This window comes from Homo sapiens, chromosome 2 (assembly GCF_000001405.40).
Source record: "Homo sapiens chromosome 2, GRCh38.p14 Primary Assembly".
Taxonomy (NCBI): Eukaryota; Metazoa; Chordata; class Mammalia; order Primates; family Hominidae; genus Homo; species Homo sapiens.
The window spans coordinates 24,749,460-24,771,984 of record NC_000002.12 but is presented as its reverse complement, the minus strand read 5'-3'; the positions used below and the strand labels follow the sequence as shown (position 1 = coordinate 24,771,984).

At 40.1% G+C, this 22,525-nt stretch overlaps 1 protein-coding gene across 15 annotated transcripts in view; it reads right to left on the bottom strand.

The window, feature by feature from the left end:
- Positions 1,283–22,525, bottom strand: part of NCOA1 (nuclear receptor coactivator 1) — a 279,449-nt gene continuing 258,206 nt past the window's right edge. For 8 of the 15 annotated variants that reach the window (XM_047446155.1, NM_003743.5, XM_047446156.1 and 5 more), the window contains 4 exons: positions 19,829–20,003; positions 13,829–14,012; positions 9,209–9,298; positions 1,283–3,764 (listed from right to left, as the gene is read on the bottom strand). In XM_047446155.1, coding sequence (XP_047302111.1) covers positions 3,594–3,764; positions 9,209–9,298; positions 13,829–14,012; positions 19,829–20,003 — 620 coding nt within the window. In that variant the 3' untranslated portion in view covers positions 1,283–3,593. Of the gene's footprint in view, positions 3,765–3,849; positions 3,907–9,208; positions 9,299–13,828; positions 14,013–19,828; positions 20,004–22,525 lie in introns of all 15 variants that reach the window. The other 7 variants (NM_001362950.1, NM_147223.3, NM_001362955.1 and 4 more) reach the window with 3 other exon arrangements.

The following is a 22,525-nucleotide window of genomic DNA, read 5'->3' as shown; positions in this document are numbered from 1 at the left end:
GGTCAAGGCTCAAGCTTGCTCTGAATTACTCACTTTATTCAAGTGGAGGTGCCCTTCTGGGAAGAGCAGTTACTGTCAACCAGGAAATCAGTACAACTGCCTTTGTAAGCAGACAACTGTCCTTGCTTTTTCTTTGTCAGGGCCTAGGAGACCATTTCTGAGGTCTTCTTTAGGAATGGAACCTACCTTAGGTGAAACCACAAAGGTGAAACTTCCTTATAACAATCACACTTTGTCCTCAATTGTTTTTGTTTTCCTCACCCCTACACCTCAGGGTAACTTTAAATCAATGTTCAGCCTCATCTAAGGGAAGTTTCATTTTTATCTTATCCCAACTATGGAAAAAAAAGGTTTTGTCCCCCCATAAATATGACTTCAGAAAACAGTTACCAAATCTGTGTACATTTAGGTCTAGGAATGTGTGTGGGAAGTACACCCTCCTTGAGCCCTCTGGAATCACATTTACCTTATGACAGAGCAGGAGCATCGCCATCTTGGACAAGCCCCTCATTCTAAAATTCACCTTAATCAAAAACCGCCTAAATCCAAAGGGCATCAGCCTAATGACTAAGGTCAGCACAACCATAAACCACAAATAACATCTCCAACCAGCAACACTCCAAACTCCTCCCCAGCCAAAGACATGCTAACCCCGAGATAACCCCCCTCTGGCCAGAAAGACATCAGCCCCAAGATAACCTCCCCTTTGCCCAGACATTCCGACCCTGCCATAAAACTTCTCCCTCACACAAAAACATTCCAAGCTTGTGATAAGCCCCCTCACCCTAAAACCAACGTATACTCTTACTCTGTAAGAGAAAGCACTCCTGATGGAAATCAGCCAGAAGCCCCTCTCAGGTTTATTTTCTCTAAAATAAATCTGTCTTTAACTGTTGAGCCGCATTTCATGTTTGTTTCCTCTGTAACTCTTACACCCTAGCCCTACTTAGCCAAGTTGGTGGATTTAGGATTTAAAAACAAACAACAGGGCCTAATTCCTATAAAATGCATTGTCACATTGAAGGAGGCTTCTCAAGTAAGACTCAATACCTATTATTGATAAATGTTGATATATTTTAAAAAAAATAGAGAGAGACATGGCATCTATGGCCATGAAGTACTGCCTGGACCAGATCTTCTGAGTCAAGAAACAGCAGGCCTAGAAGTCTTTAATCATCAGATAATGTCACAGTTAGAACCCCTCAAGGCCTGCTATCATGACTTCAGTTTGACCTTCTCAAATTTCAATGGTCTGGCTCAAATCAGGATGACTTTGAGGATCTTTGGCTTCAGGGATGCTTTATTATCCTTTTATAATACTCGTTAATTTGGGCTTTGGCAATTTCTGCAGATGTACATTTCATTTCTTCCCTGTAAATGAAGAGGCAACCCATGAGGTTGTTAAACAAATTCTATTCAGTAGCTGGAAAAGTGAATTTCCTGTGGAATGACAGGAATTACATAGAAGCAAGCAATTTTATTTTCCTCAAATGTAGCAATAATTTTAATCTGTACATACATAAAACAAACAGTGCAATTATAAAACCTTGAAGGTGACATGCATATTTTAAGGTGCAGTTGGGATGGGGGAGGATGTTAGCATCTCCAATTTTCCTTACTTTTTTTTTCTAGTTCCTTATGCAAAAGCACTGAGTCAGGAAACTTCATCTGGAATGCTGAAGTTAAAGGTGAACTTCCTGAAGTCTGCGCGTCTAAATATCACAAACAAAATGGAAATGACCTTCTAGAGCAGTTTGGTAGGGACTAGAGTAATATGGCTGGCTTTCAAGCTGGAAATGAATGAAATCAGGGATGCATTTTCTGAAAAACTAAAGGAGATAATGTTTGTAACTGAGTGTCCTATTTCTGTTTCATAGTTGCTAACCACATGAGCCCTTCCACCAATCTTTTTATTCGGCATAGTTTCTGAATAGATGCTGTTCAATGGAGTTATTTGTAACTAGGGGTGGTGAGATGCAGAAGGAAGGACCTGGGGAAATGGCTTCTTCCTTGAAGTCTGAGTCCATGCTCCTCTTCCACTGTTCTTATGGCCTTTTCTCTGCCATGGAGGCAGAGGTAGCTGGTGCAGAATGTCAGGTGCTGTCATCATTCACAGGCCCAGGGATGCAGACAAAGGTGAGTGATGGGGGTCTACCTTTGCTTCTTCCACAATACCTTTCTCAAGCTTTCCTGGCCTTGCAGCGGAACTTCTAGAACTAGAAAGTCAGTTCACTGGGTTCTTGACTCAGAGGCCAGGATGAGATGGGATGTGGCAGAGTCACAAGACACAAAGGGAAAATATGGTACCAATTAGCCTCAGAGCAGGATAGAGAAATTTATATTTGCACTGATGAAAATTCAAATTCCCAAAGTCAATCTAAAAAATGAAGATTTCCTTTGAGTATTAATTTTTTCTCTGTACAAGTAGCCTGTGCACTTCTGTTCAGATGATCCCAGGGACACTCTAGGGCAGTATGCTCTAGATCAGCTGGAACAGCTCTTTCTGGCAGTGACATTTTGATTTGAACCCCAAAGTAAATCCATACATGACATCACAGTTATTAAAATAATGAAATATTACTAACCAAATGTAACTGCAATTCAATCAATGTTATATTTCACACACAAATTTAGAAAAATCAAGAGTATAATAAAAGCATAAAATTAAACAGAAGGAAATCAATTTCTACAAGAAATCAAATATATTTACAATGAGATTTAAAGGGAAAAATAAGCTACTTGGATCATAAATTTAATTTTATTTTAAATAACTTTAGCTACCTCAGCTGTTAATACAATAAAAGCAGAAAAAACAGGCTGCCTTTTATTTTTCCAGATTTAATCAGAAAATTGTATCTACAATAATTGACACAACTCACTTCTTGTCCTTCACCCATCTCATCAAAAATTATTGCATTTTCCCCCAAACTGTATTTTTTGGATTCCTCTGTGAATATACTCATTTCGTCCTCTTTCCTGGAGGCATCTTGGTTTAAATCCATCTTTAAAAAAAGGAGAAGGGGTACATATGTGGAGGCAAAATATTCTCTTGAAGCCAACAGATACAGAGTTGCTAGAGAAGCTGATTGTACACACAAGCTGCCTGGGATTGGGATGGGGAGGGCTGCTGATTTCGAGACACATGACAGCCTTTGGTGGACGGGCACAGGCAAAGCCCCACGGGCCCTTCTTCCTGGGCAGGGTTGGGACTAAGCGGCGGAGGCGGAGCTTCATCTTCTTCTTGGAACTTGTCGTTTTGGTTCTCCTCCAAAAGCCTTCATCCAGATAAGAAGCCAATGACTGATTACAAAAATAAGAATAATTAAATTTGGCTCAAGAAATAGATTGTCCAACTGTTCTGCCTTGGTATTTTTTCAATATCCAAGGCCTTTACAAAGAAAGAAACAAAAACATCTTTCAATCTCCCGACAAAAGCAAACTCCTTTTTTTTTTTTTTTTTTTTTTTTTGCTCCAAATGCTACGACCTGAAGAATGGCTGCAGATTGAGATATCAAAAATCTCAGAAAAATATATAATATATTTGTATATCTCTGTATGTCTATTATTTAAATTTCACATTCCTTTAAAAGTGGTTATTCAGTCAGTAGCTGCTGAAGGAGGCTCTTCTGCTGGGCCTGGGGGGTCTGTGGTCCTGACGTGGGCTTTTGAGTTCCCAGTGGACCAGGCTGGTTCAGGTAAGGGTCCCCGCCTACCAGATTCACTGTACACTGGACGTCAGCAAACACCTGAACCTGTTGCACCTGCTGGAACACAAATAAAAGATGTGTTTAGACAGAAGGGTCTGCCCCCCCGGCTTATGAGTGGGTACTACTTGAAGTGGAAACTCACTAGAGCATTCCTCTAGTCTGTAGTCACCACAGAGAAGAACTCTTCTGTCTTCTTGTCCTACAAAAAGAAAATCGCTGCACTCATTTTGCTCAGGGTTCTGGAAAGTTCACACTTTAAAAATAAAATCAAAATTGGAATGGTCACGCCTCCTATAGGGTTGCCATCAATACTGAAAGTGAGTATCATTGCTAATGTTGCCAAGATTGGGAGAAGCCCAGTTTCAGAGTCTGGGTATCCAGTGGTAGGTTTTAAAAAATACATGATATTTAGAAAACTGGTTTAAAACCATTCTATGGATGATTTCAGTAGGATAAAAAATCTTTATGATGTCACTGAAAAATTAAAGGGCTTTCAACCAGTATTAGCAAAACAAAACCACAACTCAATAAGAGGACATCAGCATCTAAGGTTAATGTCCAAAAGATTTTTTAGTATTTAAATATATTATTACACAGCTCTTTCACATATTGGCTTTAGAATTACAGCAAATTATCATTAGAACAATTTCATATTTGACTTTTTTCCCCTGATAGACAATCCATTTAAACACATGAGCTAAAATTAACAGTACGTCTATTAGCCTTGAGAACAGTGTGAATTTTCCCTTCACTACTATGAGTAATAATACACTTATTCCTTAAAAATGTCTAAAGTTGCACAGTTCTAGCATATTCTATTGGGAAAACAAAGCCAGAAGTTAGTCTTTACCAACCAGCCTTATTAAAAAGTTGTTCGTAGAACTGATTAGGGCCAATACCACACTTGTGAATGTTCCAGACCAGGAATGGAGATGCCTTCTAAGGCATCTAAGTGCATCTAAGTGTCTCAAACTTTTTGACAAACTTGTGTCTCCTGTTTGATAGGTCATAAAGTATTTTAGATTAGTGGTGTATTTTTTTTGGTCATTTATCACTAATTCATGTCAATTACACTCAGCTTTTTAAAAAACTTTTCTATCCTAATCGAGTAAAAGTTGTTTTCCATCAACCTTCATTAGCCAAATGTCAAATGTGGTATGCATCAAATTTGGACACCAGTCTGTCCCCTGGTCTCCTATCCTCTTAATCCGTTTATATCTCCACTTTCCTTCCTCTCAGATGAGGCAGACAGCCCCCAAGCTGAGCTTTCCTAGTGCCTAAGGAATCAAATCTCTAGTTAGATTTGCACTGCTTTTCTCTCCTTCTCTTCCCCTTTCCCTAGTTTCCCAAATGTGGCTTCTAGCTCCTATATGCTCCCATTTGTTACTGCCTCCTCTGGGCTCTTTCTCTTGTGTCTATAACACACCAACGCGCCCAGTCTGCTCTCCAGCTGCCTCTGTGCCCTTGCCCCGCCTTTGTGGTCTGTAACGTCTCATTCTGACTCTTTCCTTCTAGAGCTTCACCAGGCCTTCCTCTCTTCCTAGGTCAACGATCCTCCTGCCAGCCCTCTTCCCGCTCCTCTCTTCTCTTCTTGTTCTCTCCTGTCTTACCTCCTCCTGCCATCCCTCTTCCCACTCCTCTGTTCTCTTCCTGTTCTCTCCTGTCTTACCTCCTCCCCATCCCATCCCAGTTCCCTACTACTCCCCTAGTCCTCTTCTCCTCATCTTTTTCTTCTCCCTTTCTGTATATCTGTCTTTATATTTCTGTCTAACTCACTCCCCAGCTGCCGTCTGGTAAATACAAAAACACTGGAGCAAGATTCATGATTGGCCACAACAGAAAGAAAATTCTACCACTGAAACTTCACATGACCACAAAATATAGTTCTTTTTTAGGCAGTGATTTAAAAAAAGGTCAACATATAAAATTTGATGTTTATGTTTCTACATATGAAATATTGGGGCAGAGCATAAGATGTTTTTGTCCCTAAATTCTTAAAAAGTTCTTGATAAAGGCATGATAAAACAAACTAGAAAGTTCTGCTTCTTTAAAAATAAAACTTTTTAAAAGATAGTCTAGGATAGGCATGGAGGCTCATGCCTCTAATTCTAGCACTTTGGGAGGCTGAGGCAGGAGGATCACTTGATGCTAGAAGTTTGAGACCAGCCTGGGCAACATAGTGAGACCCATCTCTACAAAAAATAAAAAAATTAGCTGGGTGTGGTGGCACACGCCTGTCATTCTAGCTATTTGGGAGGCTGAGGCTGGAGAATCACTTGAACCCAGGAGGAGGAGGTTGCAGTGAGCTGAGATTGCACCACTGCATTCCAGCGTGGGCAACGACAAAGCAAGACTCCGTCTCAAAAAAAAAAAAAAAAAAAGTGTATTATTGAAATTACAGAAAACTGAAAAGACTGAACAAACTCTAAAACCCATTTCAAACTATTACTTAAAAGGGGGTGTCTCAGACCAGTCCACAAAGGACTTCTTATATTGTCACAACTTCTCAGATAGGCAAAGTGTGACACAAAAGAAGCTTCAGATCTTCCAGGTGAGAAGACTGGTGTGAGAGCTGAGTCCCAACCTCTGAAGATTTTCTGGCATAATTTTTGCTTCAGTTCAAATACTGTTTCAGGGCAGGGCTCTGGAACTTTAAAACATGGTTGTTTGGGTGTAACTAATTTGTCAAGCTGCCCAGTAATGTCTCTGTGGGTTTGAGACTTTCAAAAACATCTGGTGAATGAAGACTCTTCATTTCCTCGATCTTTTTTTTTTTTTTGAGACAGAGTCTTGCTCTGTCGCCCAGGCTGGAGTGCAGTGGCACGATCTCGGCTCACTGCCAGCTCCGCCTCCCAGGTTCACGCCATTCTCCTGCCTCAGCCTCCCGAGTAGCTGAGACTACAGGCGCCCGCCACCATGCCTGGCTAATTTTTTTTTGTATTTTAACACGGTTTCACCGTGTTAGCCAGGATGGTCTTGATCTCCTGACCTAGTGATCTGCCCGCCTCAGCCTCCTGAAGTATTGGGATTACAGGCGTGAGCCACCGCACCCGGCTCCCCAGTCTTAAAATGCCTTCTCTCTCTCTCTCTTTTTTTTTTTTGAGTCGAAGTATCCCTCTGTCGCCCAAGATAGAGTGCAGTGGTGTGATCTCGGCTCGCTGCAACCTCCACCTCCTGGGTTCAAGCGATTCTCCTGTCTCAACTTCCTGAATAGCTGGGACTGCAGGTGCCCGCCACCATGCCTGGCTAATTTTTGTATTTTTAGGCAGGGTTTCTCCATGTTGGCCAGGCTGGTCTCAAACTCCTGACCTCAAATGATTTGCCTGCCTCAGGCTTCCAAAGTGCTGGGATTACAGGTGTAAGCCAAAATGCCTTCTCTTTACCTTGAGAGGACTCAGGTCCTATTTCCTAATGCTTAGACTGTGAACCCAGTCTTCTAATCTTTGTCCTTCTCAACTGGCCAATATATCTTCCTTCACCTTCTTCCCAAGATGAAGTCTAAACTAGCACTTCTATCGATGTTCCCTTTCAGGGATGACTCTTCTGTCCATAGGGTTGAATCCAAATCCCTCAGTTTAGCATTCAAGGCCTCTGGAAATTTGCCCCAAGCCACTTTACCAATTTTAATTCCTATGAATACTTATTATAAACCCTTTACCTTCAGTTGATTTGGTTTCCCAGGACTATGTTGAGATATTACTATTTCCCTGTTTCTGTGGCCTTCCAGTTCCTTCTACTTCTAAATCTACCTCTGCACCAGCCTCCAACAACTACCATACCCTTTTCCTTCCCTTTGCCTTGGTAACTGTCCTTCAAGGCTCAGCTCAGCTCTATCTCTTGCAAAAATGCTCTTGTGACCATCTCAGCAAATTCTCCTTTCTTTGAATGCTTATGGTTCATTAATTGTAACATAAATTTAATAATTTGCCTTCTTTGGTTTTATGACAGTTTAGGTGCATATATTGATGTGTTTTATCTTTCAGCAGTCCCTAACTGGTATGGCAGGAACAGTGTGGACTCTGGCGGTAGAAAGACCTGGGTTTGAACCTCAGCTCTTCCTCTTTCTAGCACTGTGAATGGTACATGTAGTTAAACCTCCTCATGTTCAGTTTCTTCATCTGTGAAGAAAAGGAATACTACCTCGTTCATAGGGTTATAGTGAGGCTTAAATGAGATAATGCATACAGTGCATAGCACAGTGCCTGGCAAACCACAAGCATTTCACAAATGAAGTTTCCTTTCCTCACTTCTCCCCACAGTTCACCAGATGCTGATGGAACATATCTTATGTGTCTTCCTACTGCCATCTGTGGCATAATCCCTGGGTTAAAAATGTTCATTAAGAGACTAAAGTCTGGCCTGGCGTGGTGGCTCATGCTTGTAATCCTAGCACTTTGGGAGGCCGAGGCGGGTGGATCACCTTAGGTCAGGAGTTCGAGACCGGCCTGGTCAAAATGGCGAAAACCTGTCTCTACTGAAAAGACGAAAAATTAGCCGGGCATGGTGGCGGGCGCCTATAATCCCAGCTACTTGGGAGGCTGAGGCAGGAGAATCGCTTGAACCCAGGGGGCGCAGGTTGCAGTGAGCCAAGATCACGCCACTTCACTCCAGCCTGGGCAAAAGAGCGAAATTCCAACTCAAAAAAAAAAAAAAAAAAAAAAGAGAGAGAGACCAAAGTTCAACCAAAGTTACGAAAGTGAATTAAGCCCTTCCTCCAAAATTTTTTTTTTTTTTTTTTTTGAGATGGAGTCTCGCTGTCGCCCAGGCTGGAATGCAGTGGCGTGATCTCGGCTCACTGCAGGCTCCGCCCCCCGGGGTTCATGCCATTCTCCTGCCTCAGCCTCCCAAGTAGCTGGGACTACAGGCACCCGCCACCTCACCCGGCTAATTTTTTGGATTTTTAGTAGAGACAGGGTTTCACCATGTTAGCCAGGATGGTCTTAATCTCCTGACCTTGTGATCCGCCCGCCTCGGCCTCCCAAAGTGCTGGGATTACAGGCATGAGCCACCGCGCCCGGCCCACAATTTCTAAATTAGGTTAATATAGGAAAGTGGCCACCTTGCTGTTTGTGCTGTTTTGAAACATACTTCTTAGGAGGTGAAGTATACAGCAGGTACTCTGTTTTGTCTGAATTACTGAGATCTTCTGAGGTATTTTGATTACAGATGAGTTTTTAGCACTGTGCTTATTTACAAAATAACAATTAGTGGCCACCATTTGTGATCACTTTATCCTATCTAAGCACTGAGTTAAGCCATCTGAACTGATCTCATTGAATCCTCTCAACAATCCTATAAGCAGGTGTCATGTTAGTTCTGTGGTTATACAGCAGCTCAGGAAAGCTCCATAACATGCCCAGGACGACACAGCTAAGAAGAGCAGAGCCAGGACTCACACCCAGGTCTGACTCCCAAGGTCAGGCTCTTAATGATGCTACACAATGACCTCTGTGCATCTAGAGTACATTTGACAGCTCTGGGCTTAGAATTTCCTTACTGACCTGGGTTCCATCTGCTTCTGTTTTGAGAAGGTCAGTGGATGAGAGCTGGTTGCAGTAGAGGCCTGTGTGTCTCAGTGCGGGATCATTTATCTATTAAAGATAAATACAAGATCAAATTACAAGCTAGTTGTTTAAACTGAAAACCAAATTCTCCAATGAAAAACAATCTCACTGACAGAAAAGTAATAGGAGCACAGCAAAAATGAAAAGCTTAGCAATTAACTGTGTTGTTACAAGTCAGGATAGTCATTCCCCTTGTGGGGTAGTGAGTGTGTAAGGGACACAAGGAGAACCTCTGGGGTACTGATGACATTCTGTTTCTTGATCTGAGTGGTACTCAGGTGTGTTCACTTTGTGAAAATCTATTGAGTTGTACACTTTTCTCTATATTCTTATATATGATACTTTAATAAAAAGTTAATTCACACATACATATGTTAATTAGTGGTAGACTCACACTTTGGTCAAGATTTAGTAACAGGGATCAGACTTATCCTCCTGCCTCAATCAGCTAAAAAAATTGACAAAATATGTGAAAAAAAGGCACTGAAGACATTAGACAAAGGCAACGAAGGACAGTGATCCCTAACAGTTCAGCAGTCCCTACTGTGGCAACCGCCCAGCCTACTGCCTGGAGTGTATTTCCGGCTGTATCATGGACAAAGGGAATCCAGGCAGCGCCTGGCAGGCTCCCTGAGTTAAGGGGATGCAGCTAGAATCCTCAGAGCAGAATATCAGAGAGAGCTCTGGAATAGATCTGCAGTGGCCCTCAAGTCTGAAGCTCAGTACTAATCAGCTTATAGATGCAGGGGAAACAATCACCTGAATAGATGACATGGAACAATTCCCAAAGTCCCCACAGGGCTGGGAATAAGCCCTGATTTCACCCCCCAGAGTGGAAAACATCGTAATTCATGTAGTATCATGTAGCATATTAAAGGTTTTACCTTGGTGGTAAGGTTAGAATTAGCCCTAGAAAAAATACTGCTTTGGTCGCAGTAAACAAAAAAGCAAGGATCAAACTTCCAAGTAACCATTTCCTAGAACAAAGCTCAAGAATATTTGTAGGAATATAAACAAGGTAAAATTCATGTCTGGCATCCAATAAAAAATTACCAGGCATGCAAAGAGGCAGAAAAATATGATGCATAATGAAAAGGGAAGTCAACTGAAATCAATTCAAAAATGATGCTGATAATAGAACTGATAGGTGAGAAATATCAGGACAATTATAATAACCATATTCCATTTGTTTAAGAAATAAGAGGAAAGGCTGAACAGATATGAAAAAAATGTTGGAGATATGGAAGATATAAAAAGGATCCAAATATGACTGCTAGATATGAAAACTGCTATGTCTGAGATGAAAAATACACTGTATAAACAGATTAGATATTGCAAAATAAAGAATTAGTGAACCTGAGGCTACAGTAATATAAATGTTCTAAAATCAAAGAAAAAAATAACTGAACCTCATCCCAGTGCTCGAAAGCCCCCAAACCTAGAGAATCGGTGAATGTGAGACAATTTCAAGTGCACTATACATGCAACTGAAGTCTCTGAAGGAGAGGAATAAGGATGGTGACAAAAATTATTTGAAGAAATAATGATCAATATTTTCCAAAATTTGGCCGGGTGTGGTGGCTCACGCCTATAATCCCAGCACTTTGGGAGGCCGAGGTGGGCAGATCACCTGAGGTCAGGGGTTTGAGACCAGTCTGGCCAACATGGCAAAATCCCGTCTCTACTAAAAACATAAAAATTAGCTGGGTGTGGTGGCGCACCCCTGTACTCCCAGCTACTCAGAAGGCTGAGGCAGGAGAATTGCTTGAACCCAGGAGGTGGAGGTTACAGTGAGTGGAGACTGCGCCATTACACTCCAGCCTGGGTGACAGAGTGAGACTCTGTCTCAAAAAAACCACAAAAAAACAAAAAACGACAACAAAAAATTTTTTCCAAAATTTAATGAAAATTATATGGTAATGAATCAAGAAGCTCAATGAACCCCAAGAATAAGAAATATGAAGAAAATACACTGAAGCATATCATAATCAAATTACTTAGAACCAGTGGTGGAGAGAAAAATCAAAATCAGCCAGAGGGGAAAAACATCAATCATACATGGAAGAACAAAGATAAAATGACAGCAGATGTCTCATCAGCAACACTGTAGTGGAGCAACATCTTTAAAGTACTGAAAGCTAAAACTGCCAAGCTAGAGTTTAGGGGAAAGAACATTCAAAGATGAAGGTGAAAGACTTTTTCAGACATAGAAAAGCTCATTAGCCGCAGGCCTGCACTATAAAAATGTTAAAGCCAAGGCCGGGCGCGGTGGCTCACGCCTGTAATCCCAGCACTTTGGGAGGCCGAGGCGGGCAGAACATGATGTCAGGAGATTGAGACCATCCTGGCTAACACAGTGAAACCCCATCTCTACCAAAAATACAAAAAAAAAAAAAAAAAAAAAAAATTAGCCGGGCATGGTGGCGGGTGCCTGTAGTCCCAGCTACTTGGGAGTCTGAAGCAGGAGAATCGGTTGAACCTGGGAGGTGGAGGTTGCAGTGAGCTGAGGTTGTGCCACCACACTCCAGCCTGGGCTAAAGGGCGAGACTCCATCTCAAAAAAAAAAAAAAGAAAAAAAAAAAGTTAAAGCAAGACCCTCAGGCAGAAGGAAAATAATACCAAATGGAAATTTAGAACTACAAAAAGAATGCAGAAAATTTAAAGTGGTGACTATGTGGGTAAATATAAAAAAGCTTTTATTTAAATTTTCTTTAAATAGTCAATTATAGTTTATAATTAATTTATAAATTTGTAAGTAGAATTTATAAATTTATAATTTATAATTGACTAAAGAAAAAATAATAAATTGCAGGGAACAGAACATATATAAATATAACATGTATGACAACAGTAGCACAGGAGGGACAAAATAGAAATAAATTGTAATGAGGTTCTATACATTATATATACCTCTATACATTATATTATACCTCTATACATACATATATCACCTCATGTGATATAGAGGTGATATAATATACACCTCTATACATGAGGTGATATAGTATCATTTGAAGATAAAAAAGGTAATTGGTGTTTATATATTTTTATGATTGCCTATAAATGATGGCTGCATGGTAATAGCCTAGTTACTATAGCATACTTTGTGGTTGCTGATACGAATAATGAGAATAGCAACTATAGAGAGTTATTGCAATAATCTTAAATATTGTTTTGAATTTATTCATTCTCTTCTAAAAATATGTAAGAGGCTCCAGGATAAATTCCACACACTTAGATGGCATGCAACATATCAAAAAAGCTTACCACATTACTTCTTCTCTAAATAAAATATAAATATCCCCTTAACATTAATTAGGCTTTCAACTCCTATCCTGCCTAGGTCATGCTGTGATAACCAATCTTGAATGTTCTTTTTCTATTCTGTTTAGGCAACTTTTTCATAATGCCTTTTTTTGACCAGGCCTTTTTTCTTTTAAGCCCTCAGTAGTCAACTGTGCATACACTCCTCATCTGACAGAAACACATATGGCCTATCTCTTACATACCAGTTTTGTCCTATGATTAAAATGATCCTTTGTTCATGTTGTGTCTTTCCCAACTTGTACATATGCATGTCCCACAAGGCTATCTTTGTACACAGTAAGTACTGAATAAATGCTTATTGAATTAAAAGGTAGAGATGAAGAAAATGTTTCAAAATATAATGGAATATTCCAAGACAATATATTACATGTACTGTTTTTTTGTTTGTTTGTTTTTTTGAGATGGAGTCTTGCTCTGTTGCCCAGGCTGGAGTGCAGTGGCGCAATTACCAGCTCACTGCAACCTCCAACTCCTGGGTTCAAGCAATTCTCATGCCTCAGCCTCCCAAGGAGCTGGGATTACAGGTGCATGCCACCACGCACAGCTAATTTTTGTTTGTTTTTTTTTTAGTAGAGACAGGGTTTCACCATGTTGGCCAGGCTGGTCTCGAACTCCTGACCTTGTGATCCATCTGCCTTGGCCTCCCAAAGTGCTCGGATTATAGGCATAAGCCACCACACCCAGCCATGTACTGTTTTATAAATCTAAAACACTAAAATCTCATGAAACTGAAATCTTATTTATAAAGTCTGTCAAGGCCAGGAGTAGTGGCTCACACCTGTAATCCCAGCACTTTGGGAGGCTGGGATAGGAGGATTGCTTGAGCCCAGGAGTTCAAGCCCAGCCTGGGCAACATAGTGAGACCTTGTTTCTGCAAATAGTAAAAAAATTAGCTGGGCAGGGTGACATGTGCTTGCAGTCCCAGCTACTTAGGAGTCTGAGGTGGGAGGATCCCTTGAGCCTGGGCAGTCAAGGCTGCAGTGAGCTGTAATTGCACCACTGTACTCCAGCTTGGGTGACAAAGTGAGACTCCATCTCAAAAAAAAAAAAAAAAAAAAAAGTCTGTCAAAATTTTTCATTGTATATCTTAAGAGCCAGTAATTATTAAAAGTTAGTGGGAAAGAATAAAGAAGTGTGGCTATTTCTGATGAGTAACTGTCAACATACCTGATTTTCCTCAGAATTAACTGTGATGTGGTGTGGCATGTGTGTGGCGAGTGTGCCACTTACCTGCTCAGGGCACACAGTGTTCATTCCTGGCATCTGCAAAGAGCTCATCTGCATCTGGGCCATCATTGGGTTCATGTTCTGAACATTCGTATTTCCACCTGCCATGGAAACGGTGATGCTCATGTTGTTGTATACTCCTGGCTGTGCAGGCGTGGGCTGGTTCTGGACAGCTTGACTGAACACACTGTAAACTCAAAAACAATCCAGATTACATCCACTGATCATGAACAAGGGGATATATGACTAGATTCTGTTTCCAAATAAAATATGTTACATCCTTAAATTGCATGTATGACTGTAACTTCTTAAAATATATAAAAATTAATATAATTCAGATACATTCTGAAGTCTACATAAGGGATTAAATAACTGAAAAGAGCTCATTTTAAATAACAATTATCTGGCACAATATCAGAGATGCTAGGCTACAATCATCTAAATAATTAAGAAAGGAAGTTTTCCATGTAAGTAAATCTTCTAGGTAACTGACATTTACCTATCTAAACAGAGAATGTCCTATTTGAGCAAAGTGTCTGGCATATATATACATATATATATATATCTTCAATAAATGTTCACTGAATGAATTAACACACGAATGAATGATTCAAAGACAGCATCCTTATATTGTGTTTGCTTGTAGAGCCTCTTAGACTTAATACTTCAGGGGAGTGATGGTATCTTGTTCCACTTATTTCTCATCTCTATTAATATGTGACATATAGCAGGCACTCAGTAAATACCTGATGAATAAATGAATTATGGCATGGATTATTATTCGGTGCTGTCAAATGGTGCAGTTCAGATTGTTTTCTATTAAATGGTTTACTGTATCTGTGCCAGTGAAGTGGCATACATTTTTTGAAGTGTAGTGCAGAGACCATCTACAAGAGAATACCCTGGGACTCACTGGCAATTGAGACTCCCAGGTTTTACTCAAGCCCTGGTGAATCACATTTTCCAGGGGTGGGTATAGAAAGGTCCATCTTTAACTATTCATGCATACTAAAATTTGAGACCCTTTATTCAATATCCTATAGCTTGTTGTCACTTCTCAAGGTTTTATCTTCTGGTCGCTTTCAATATGCTACAAATTAAGAGGAAGCCAGATGTATACAACCAAATGTTTTTAGGTGGCAAATTTAATCCTTTTAAAGACTTCCAAGGTCTTATCAGGCCTCAACATAGCTTCATGTCTTTTCTAGGAAGCAAAATACATAAGCAGTTATGTTTTTCAGAGAGCCTGTTTTACTGACTTCCTTCTTCATGGCCAAGTTCTGGACTGTTGTTACACCAAAGATCTCAAATGTAAAATCAGTCTCTATTAGGAAGTAGAATAGTAAGCAATAAACTCCATGGGAATTCAACTTGACACTTTGTATTTGAACCCTGAAAATTTTCATTGATACAGATATGCACATCTAAAGGATAATGATATTAATTCTGTCTTTCCTAAGTTCTATAAACATCAAATATTTTATGACTATATATTAATTGTTAACAATAAACTGCTGGTAAAATTCCACCTATTTTAATATTAATTCTATAGAATTTGATTTTAGAAATAATTTTCCCCATCAATAGTTTATCTATTCCTCGCTAGCTCTTAGTGTTAAGAAGGATATACTGACATTTACAGTTTCCAGTAGACTAAGGTAATCATACTGAATTGACAGGCCAATAAACAGCCTATTTATCATGTCTGAAGAAAAGTACAGAATTTTCCCCCAAGTAATTATAAAACAAAAATGCCCACAGAAAATTATATGCCTAGGAAATAGTCAGTAATACACCTGTGGACCATTAATGTCTGCACAGTGTGTATGCTTATGGGGCAGTGATCCTACAACTAAAGGTGAGAAAAAAGCCTACTAATCTATGTCTATTTTCTTTTGTTTTTGGAGATGGGAGTTTTACTCTTGTTGCCCAGGCTGGAGTGCAATGGCGCAAACTCAGCTCACCGTAACCTCTGCCTCCTGGGTTCAAGTGATTCTCCTGCCTCAGCCTCCCGAGTAGCTAGGATTACAGGCGTGTGCCATCACGCCCAGCTAATTTTGTATTCTTTTTTTTTTTTTTTTTTTTTTTAGTAGAGATGGGGTTTTGCCATGTTGGTCAGGCTGGTCTCAACCTCCTGACCTCAGATGATCAACCTGCCTCGGCCTCCCAAAGTGCTGGGATTACAGGCATCAGCCATTGCACCCAGCCTCTATGCCTATTTTCTAATGAGAACATTTCTGCCTAAGACAGTACTCATTTGTCAATTGATACATAAGTCACCACTGCGGAGGAGCAAGGCTATGTAAGTTAATGCATGTGGAAACTTCAAGGACTGCAATGATGTCATACTTATTGAAAAAAATTTAGAGCTTAATTTCCTTTCAAATTAATATTTGGGACTGTATATTAGTTTAAGTTCTTTCAAACTGCTCCTGCCAATAGTTCCATTTTAGCATCTCCCATTAAGGGAAGGAGACCAAGCTCTTCTGCAGCTGCAATCACTGTCCTAGGTCCTAGAAAGACGTCTGGGTCCACTGACACCTAAAGTCCAACATTCACAGGCCCTCTTCCTCACTCTGCTTTCCTGCCTGCTTTGTAGCAGCTATCACAGTTTTCTCAGGGTAGCACTAGGTATTTGGTAGTCACTAAATGATGGGAAAAAGAGAAGGATGAATACTCTGGCCCAGAGTGGGTTCCACAGATATTACAGGTATTAACAAGCAGGGGAGTCCCTGGTCAAATAAGTCTGAGAAACAAAAGGTTAAACAACAGGACTTCTTATCCTTTAAAATGCTAATAAGCAATGGGATTCTCCCATCAACCAGCCTTACACAGAAGCACTACCCAGTTCCAGGACCCACAGGTTTGTTTAACCATTTCTTTCTCTTGCCACCAGAGAGATAATGAAAAAGAATCATGTTACACTACCTCTGAACTCTATTACATCATTCTACTTAATGGTTCTCTGACTGTTTCATGTTTTAATTCTCTCTGACCTGCCCCCTCACCAACTAGACTCTTCGTTATTTGGCAGCAGGGGTTGTTTTTCAGTGTTCCTCATGGTATCTTGTGTTGTGTGACAGAGACAGTGAGTGGTCACTGTCTCCAGGTGATATACGCTAATACACAAGGCTTATGATGACTAATAAGCTTTTGCACATGAACCAAATGAGCAAGTGTGAGTGTTTAAAGAGTTGGTGGTAACTGTTTTCTTTCCCAAATGATTTGGAAAGTCAAAGTTTGCAAAAACTACTAAAATACAACGAAAACCTATACCCATATTTGAATCTGAATCCAAGATGTTGACTTAGGGAGTATTTGTACTCATTTGTTTGATAGATGTATATGAAGGGCCTCCCTGTTCCAGAGTATGGAGAAACAGAAGTAATACAAAATAAAGTCCTTGCTCTTATGATGCTCATATTCTAGATGGAGAAGAAAAATCACAAATAAATAGACTATCACACAGTATGTCAAGTGTTAATCACTATGAAAAAAGTAAAGAATGGAAAGGAGGCGCCAGGGGTAGAAAATGCTATTATTTCAGAAATGGTGGTCAGGGAAGTGTAATAAGGTCACATTTAATGTCTGTGTCTAATAAAGTGACATTTAAGGAAAGACTTGAACTGTGAGAGACAAGCCATGTGGCCACTGAGGGAAGAACATTCCAGCAGAGAGATTAAAAAATGCAAACATCCTGAGTTTGCAGTGTACTTCGCACATCTGAGGAGCAGAAGGATAAAAGGAAGCCATTGTGGCAGAGTGAGCGGTGAGAATAACAGATGGGATCAGAGAGGTATCCAGGAACAAGATGATGTGGGGTTTTACGGGCCCTATTCTGTATTTTGAGTAAGATGGGGAGCTACTGGATGAGTTGTGCGTAAAGGACGGACATACTCTGCCTCATGTGTTAAAAGCATGGCTCTGGCTACCCATGTGGAGATTAAATGATGGTGCAGCAAGGGTGGAAGCAGGAGAGGAAGCTACTGGAATGGCCCAGGGAAAAGATGATTGTGGCTTGCATTAAGGTGCACATGTGGAATAGGTAAGAAGAGAGAGGTGCTAAGAAGCTGACATGATTTGCTGATGTGTTGGATGTGGGATGTGAGAAAGAGAAAGACTTTTCTTCTGGACAAGTGGAAAATGGAATTGTCATTTACTGAAATGGGAAAAAGTAACCCAGAGGAGCAGGTCTGGTGAAAATATCACTTTAGTTTTCATCATGTTAAGTTTGAGATGCCTATTAGACTTATAAGTGGAGATATTGGTTAGGCAGCTGAATATAGAGTATGGTGTTCAGGAAAGCCATCTGCACTGGAGGTTTAAATTTGGGAGTCAAGCATAGCAGTAGGCATTGACAATAGTAAGATGGGTGATGCAACCAAAGGAGGGAGTGGGTATGGCGAAGAGGTCCTAGAATCACCTCTGGGGCCCTCAAATGGAGGTCATGGAGATGAGAAAGATCCTCAAGGAGACTAAGTGATAGGAGGAGAGTCACTTTTCTCAAGACAGAGAGTTGTTCTAGAAACCAAATGAAGAGCTTCAAGAAAGAATAAATGCTCAAATATGTCAAATGCTACTGATGAGCATTGCTTTTGGCACTGAAAAGGACATTTAACTATCTTGACAGGGACACTTTCTGTGGAATGATGGGAATGAAAGCCTGATTAGTTCAACAAGGAGTAGGAGTAGGGGAAGTGGATAGAGTATAATCTTTTAAGGAATTTAACTGTAAAGGGGAGCAGAGAAATAGGTTATTGAGACATGTCAGCATGACTGTTTTTTTTTTTCCCCAAGCCATATTTCAATACTTAGGTGGAGGTATAAAGTAAGAGTTTAGTTGGATTTCATTAGGGAGAATTTTGCCAGGCATAAGTGCAACAGAGGGAGAGATAGGCAAGGGAGTCAGAGTACCTGTAAGGTAGTGATTATAATGATGGGCCACAAAATCCAGAGTGAGTTTAGGAAGTTGGGATTAGAATACATTAGGAGACTAAATTCCTCTTGTATTACAGATATGGTTCCATTTCTACCTAATTTATACATGGTCCTCACTGAGACCTACACAGTTCTCTAACATGAAGATTTTCTCTCACCTTTCAATGAACTTTAGAAGAATATAGTCTTGTGTTTTCAACTTTAACTGCCTTACTTATTATGTTGTCAGATCAGACAGCTTCCCTGTCATTATAACTAAGACACAACCAAATTAAAATCCTTATAAAACTCAAAGTGATGTGTGAAAAGTTCAGCAGCCAGGATTTGGAGAAAAAAAAAAAAAGGCTTTAGTGAGATAATTCTAAGCAAGATGGGTGAGTCAAGGTCACTAAAAATCTAGAGATTCTAAAAGGGGTAAGCCTTAAAAACTTTTGTTATTGTTATAAAGTCTTTAAATACATCGAGAAAAGTGAAACTTGTGTGCCCACTACTCAGCTCTATTGAATTCTGACATTTGCCATTCTTGGTTTTAGATTTATAAGATTTTAAAGTGTTCTTATAAAGAAAAACTTTTAAAAAAGTACCCATTTCTATGTCTGTCCCAGGGAAGCTCTGTTACTGATGTGAGCTCATCATATTCTGCAGGTGTGCTCAGGTTAGGATGGAAAGGTTGGGGACCTAGATCACTTTTCTGTACTGTCAGCACACAAATTTGCCTTAGAAGTGACTTGATACTTATAAGATTTAAAAATCATTTTTCTTTGCTGATAATATAAAATTTAGTTCTTTCCATTATGCAAATGGAAGTAGCCAATAATCTTCTACTTAGCCTGTGAATACAATCAGCCCATGAAAGCATGGCTGTTCTTATGTGCTGCTTTCTGTCTCCACACATAAACGGGGGAACGGGGAAACGTCATATAAATGTAGCCATATGTGGCCTTTTGTGTCCGGCCTTCTTTCACTTTACATAATGTTCCTGAGGTTCAACCACTGTAGCATTTATCAGTATCAAGGATTTATCACAGTATCAAGGATGCTCATATATAAAAACTGCCCCCTTACTTGTTGTTTCCTATCGCTCCTTGCTGCCAGGCCTTCATGTCTGGTGACTGATACCCGGAGGCAGGTGGAGTTTGCTGGAGAAGAGAACTCTGAGGAGGAGGGATTGGCATCGGCACCATGGAGCTCCCAGGGCTTAGAGATGGAGCAAAGTTGGCCTCACCTTGGGGAACCATTCCTGTAAATTGACACAAATTAATTTATGTTGATACACTATAAATTTATTAACCCCATAAATGAAAAAACCCAAAAGGATCTGTCACAATATATTTACAAATAACTTTCTTATTTGCCTTGTCTTGTGTCAGGCAATATATTTACAAATATCGCATTCAACAGAGCATGGAAAAAATTTAGTATCTTAAACTAGGGCAAGAAATCTCAGCATAAACCAATGAAATAAATGTAAGCTCGGAATAATGCTTTCCATTCACTAAGACGTTATTTGTGCAGCAGGATTGTATATGATCTATTTCTGTTCTTTTTTGCTTATGTGAATTTTTAAGTGTAAAAATATGTATGAACATACATGATGAATTACTTGTGTAGTAAATTAAACTTTTTTTTTTTTTCCCCCGAGATGGAGTCTTGCTCTGTCACCCAGGCTGGAGTGCAGTGGTGCGATCTTGGCTCACTGCAACCTCCACCTTCTGGGTTCAAGCAATTCTCCTGCCTCAGCCTCTCAGGTAGCTGGGATTACAGGCGCCTGCCACTGGGCCTGGCTAATTTTTGTATTTTTAGAGGAGACGGGGTTTCACCATGTTGGCCAGGGTGGTCTCGAACTCCTGACCTCAGGTGATCCACCCGCCTTGGCCTCCCAAAATGCTGGGATTACAGGTGTGAGCCACCGCGCCCGGCTGTAAATTAAATAATAGTTAAGAAAAAGCCACGTGTGGCCGGGTGCTGTGGCTCACGCCTGTAATCCCAGCACTTTGGGAGGCCGAGGTGGGTGGATCACCTGAGGTCAGGAGTTCGAGACTAGCCTGGCCAACATGAGAAACCCCATCTCTACTAAAAATACAAAAACGCCTGTTATCTCAGCTACTTGGAAGGCTGAGGCACGAAAATGGCTTGAACCTGGGAGGCAGAGGTTGCAGTGAGACGAGATCGCACCACTGCACACCACCCTGGGTGACAGAGCAAGGCTCTGTCAAAAAAAAAAAAGAAAAAGAAAAAGCCATGTATGAAAATAAAAAATAATGAGAAAGTTTTGTTAGCCACTCTTCCCCCCCTCCTTCCCCCTTTTAAGCTTTATTCAGACTTAATCTATACAACATGAAATTGACACACTGTAACTGCATAATGCAATGATTTTTAGTAAATTTATAGAGTTGTGCCGCCATTACCACAATCCAGTTTGGACATCTAATCATTCCCCAAATTCCCTTATAGAGTTGTGCCGCCATTACCACGATCCAGTTTAGACACCTAATCATTCCCCAAATTCCCTTCCTTGTACCTGTTTGTAGTCAATCCTTGCTCCCATCCCTAGTCCCAGGTAACCTCTGATCTACTTTCTGTCTCTAAAAGATTTGCTTTTTGGGGGGAAATTTCATGTAAATGTAGCCATACATGGTCTTCTGTGTCTGGCTTGCATTCACTTAGCATAATGTTTTTGAGGTTCAGCCACTTTGGAGCACTTATCAGTAGGCTATTCCTTTTTATTTAGGATGATGCTTATTAGCAGCCATCTGACCTGTCAAAACTCAACTGACCATAAAAGTAAGGGTTTACTTCTGAACTTTTTATTCTGTTCCAGTGATCTCTATGTTGTACCAGCACCACATTGTCTTGATTGTTGCGACTTTATGGTAATTTTTGAAATTAGGTAGATATCCAACTTTGTTCTTCCTTTTAAAAATTATTTTGGCTACTCTAGGTCCTTTGCATTTTCATATACATTTTAGGATAAGTTTGTTAATTTCTCCAAAAAGCATGCTGAAATTCTGCATTGAATTATAAGATCAATTTTGAGTAAATTACCAGGTTTTTTTCAGTCTTTTTTCTCTGATTTCATTTTGGATAGTTTCCATTGTTATATCTTTAAGTTCACTATTTTTTTCTTCTGTAATTTCTAATCTGCTGTTTATCTCATCTAGGGTTTTTTTTGTTTTGTTTTGTTTTTTAAATCTCAGACACTGTAGTTTTCATCTCCAGAAGTTTGACTTGGGTTTTATTTATATCTTCCATGGCTCTAGGCTCTACTTAACATATTCAAGCTTCCTCTTGCTTCTTGAACAAACAGAATTTATAATTTATAATTGCTTTAATGTCTCTGTCTACTAATTCTATCACCTGTGTAATTTCTGAATTTTTGATTGGCTGATTTTTCTCCTCATTACAGGTAGTATTTTCCTACTTCTTTGCATACCTGGTAGTTTTAAAAATCAGATTCCAGACCTTGTGAATTTTACCTTATTAGGTGTTGGATTTTTTTTCTCTTCTTTTAAATATTTTTGACCTTTGTCTGGGCTGTGGTTAGGCTACATGGAAACAGGTTAATTCTTTTAGGTCTTGTGCCTAATGAGACAAGAGCAGAGTTTAGGGCTTATTTTGCCCCACTACCGAGGCAAACCATCTCTGAGTGTTCTACTTGATACCCCCTGAATTATGAGGTTTTCTACTCTGGCTGGTAGGAAGAGGAACTGGCCCTGTATGAACTTTGAAGATGGTTCCCTCTTATCTTTTCAGGTGGTTTTC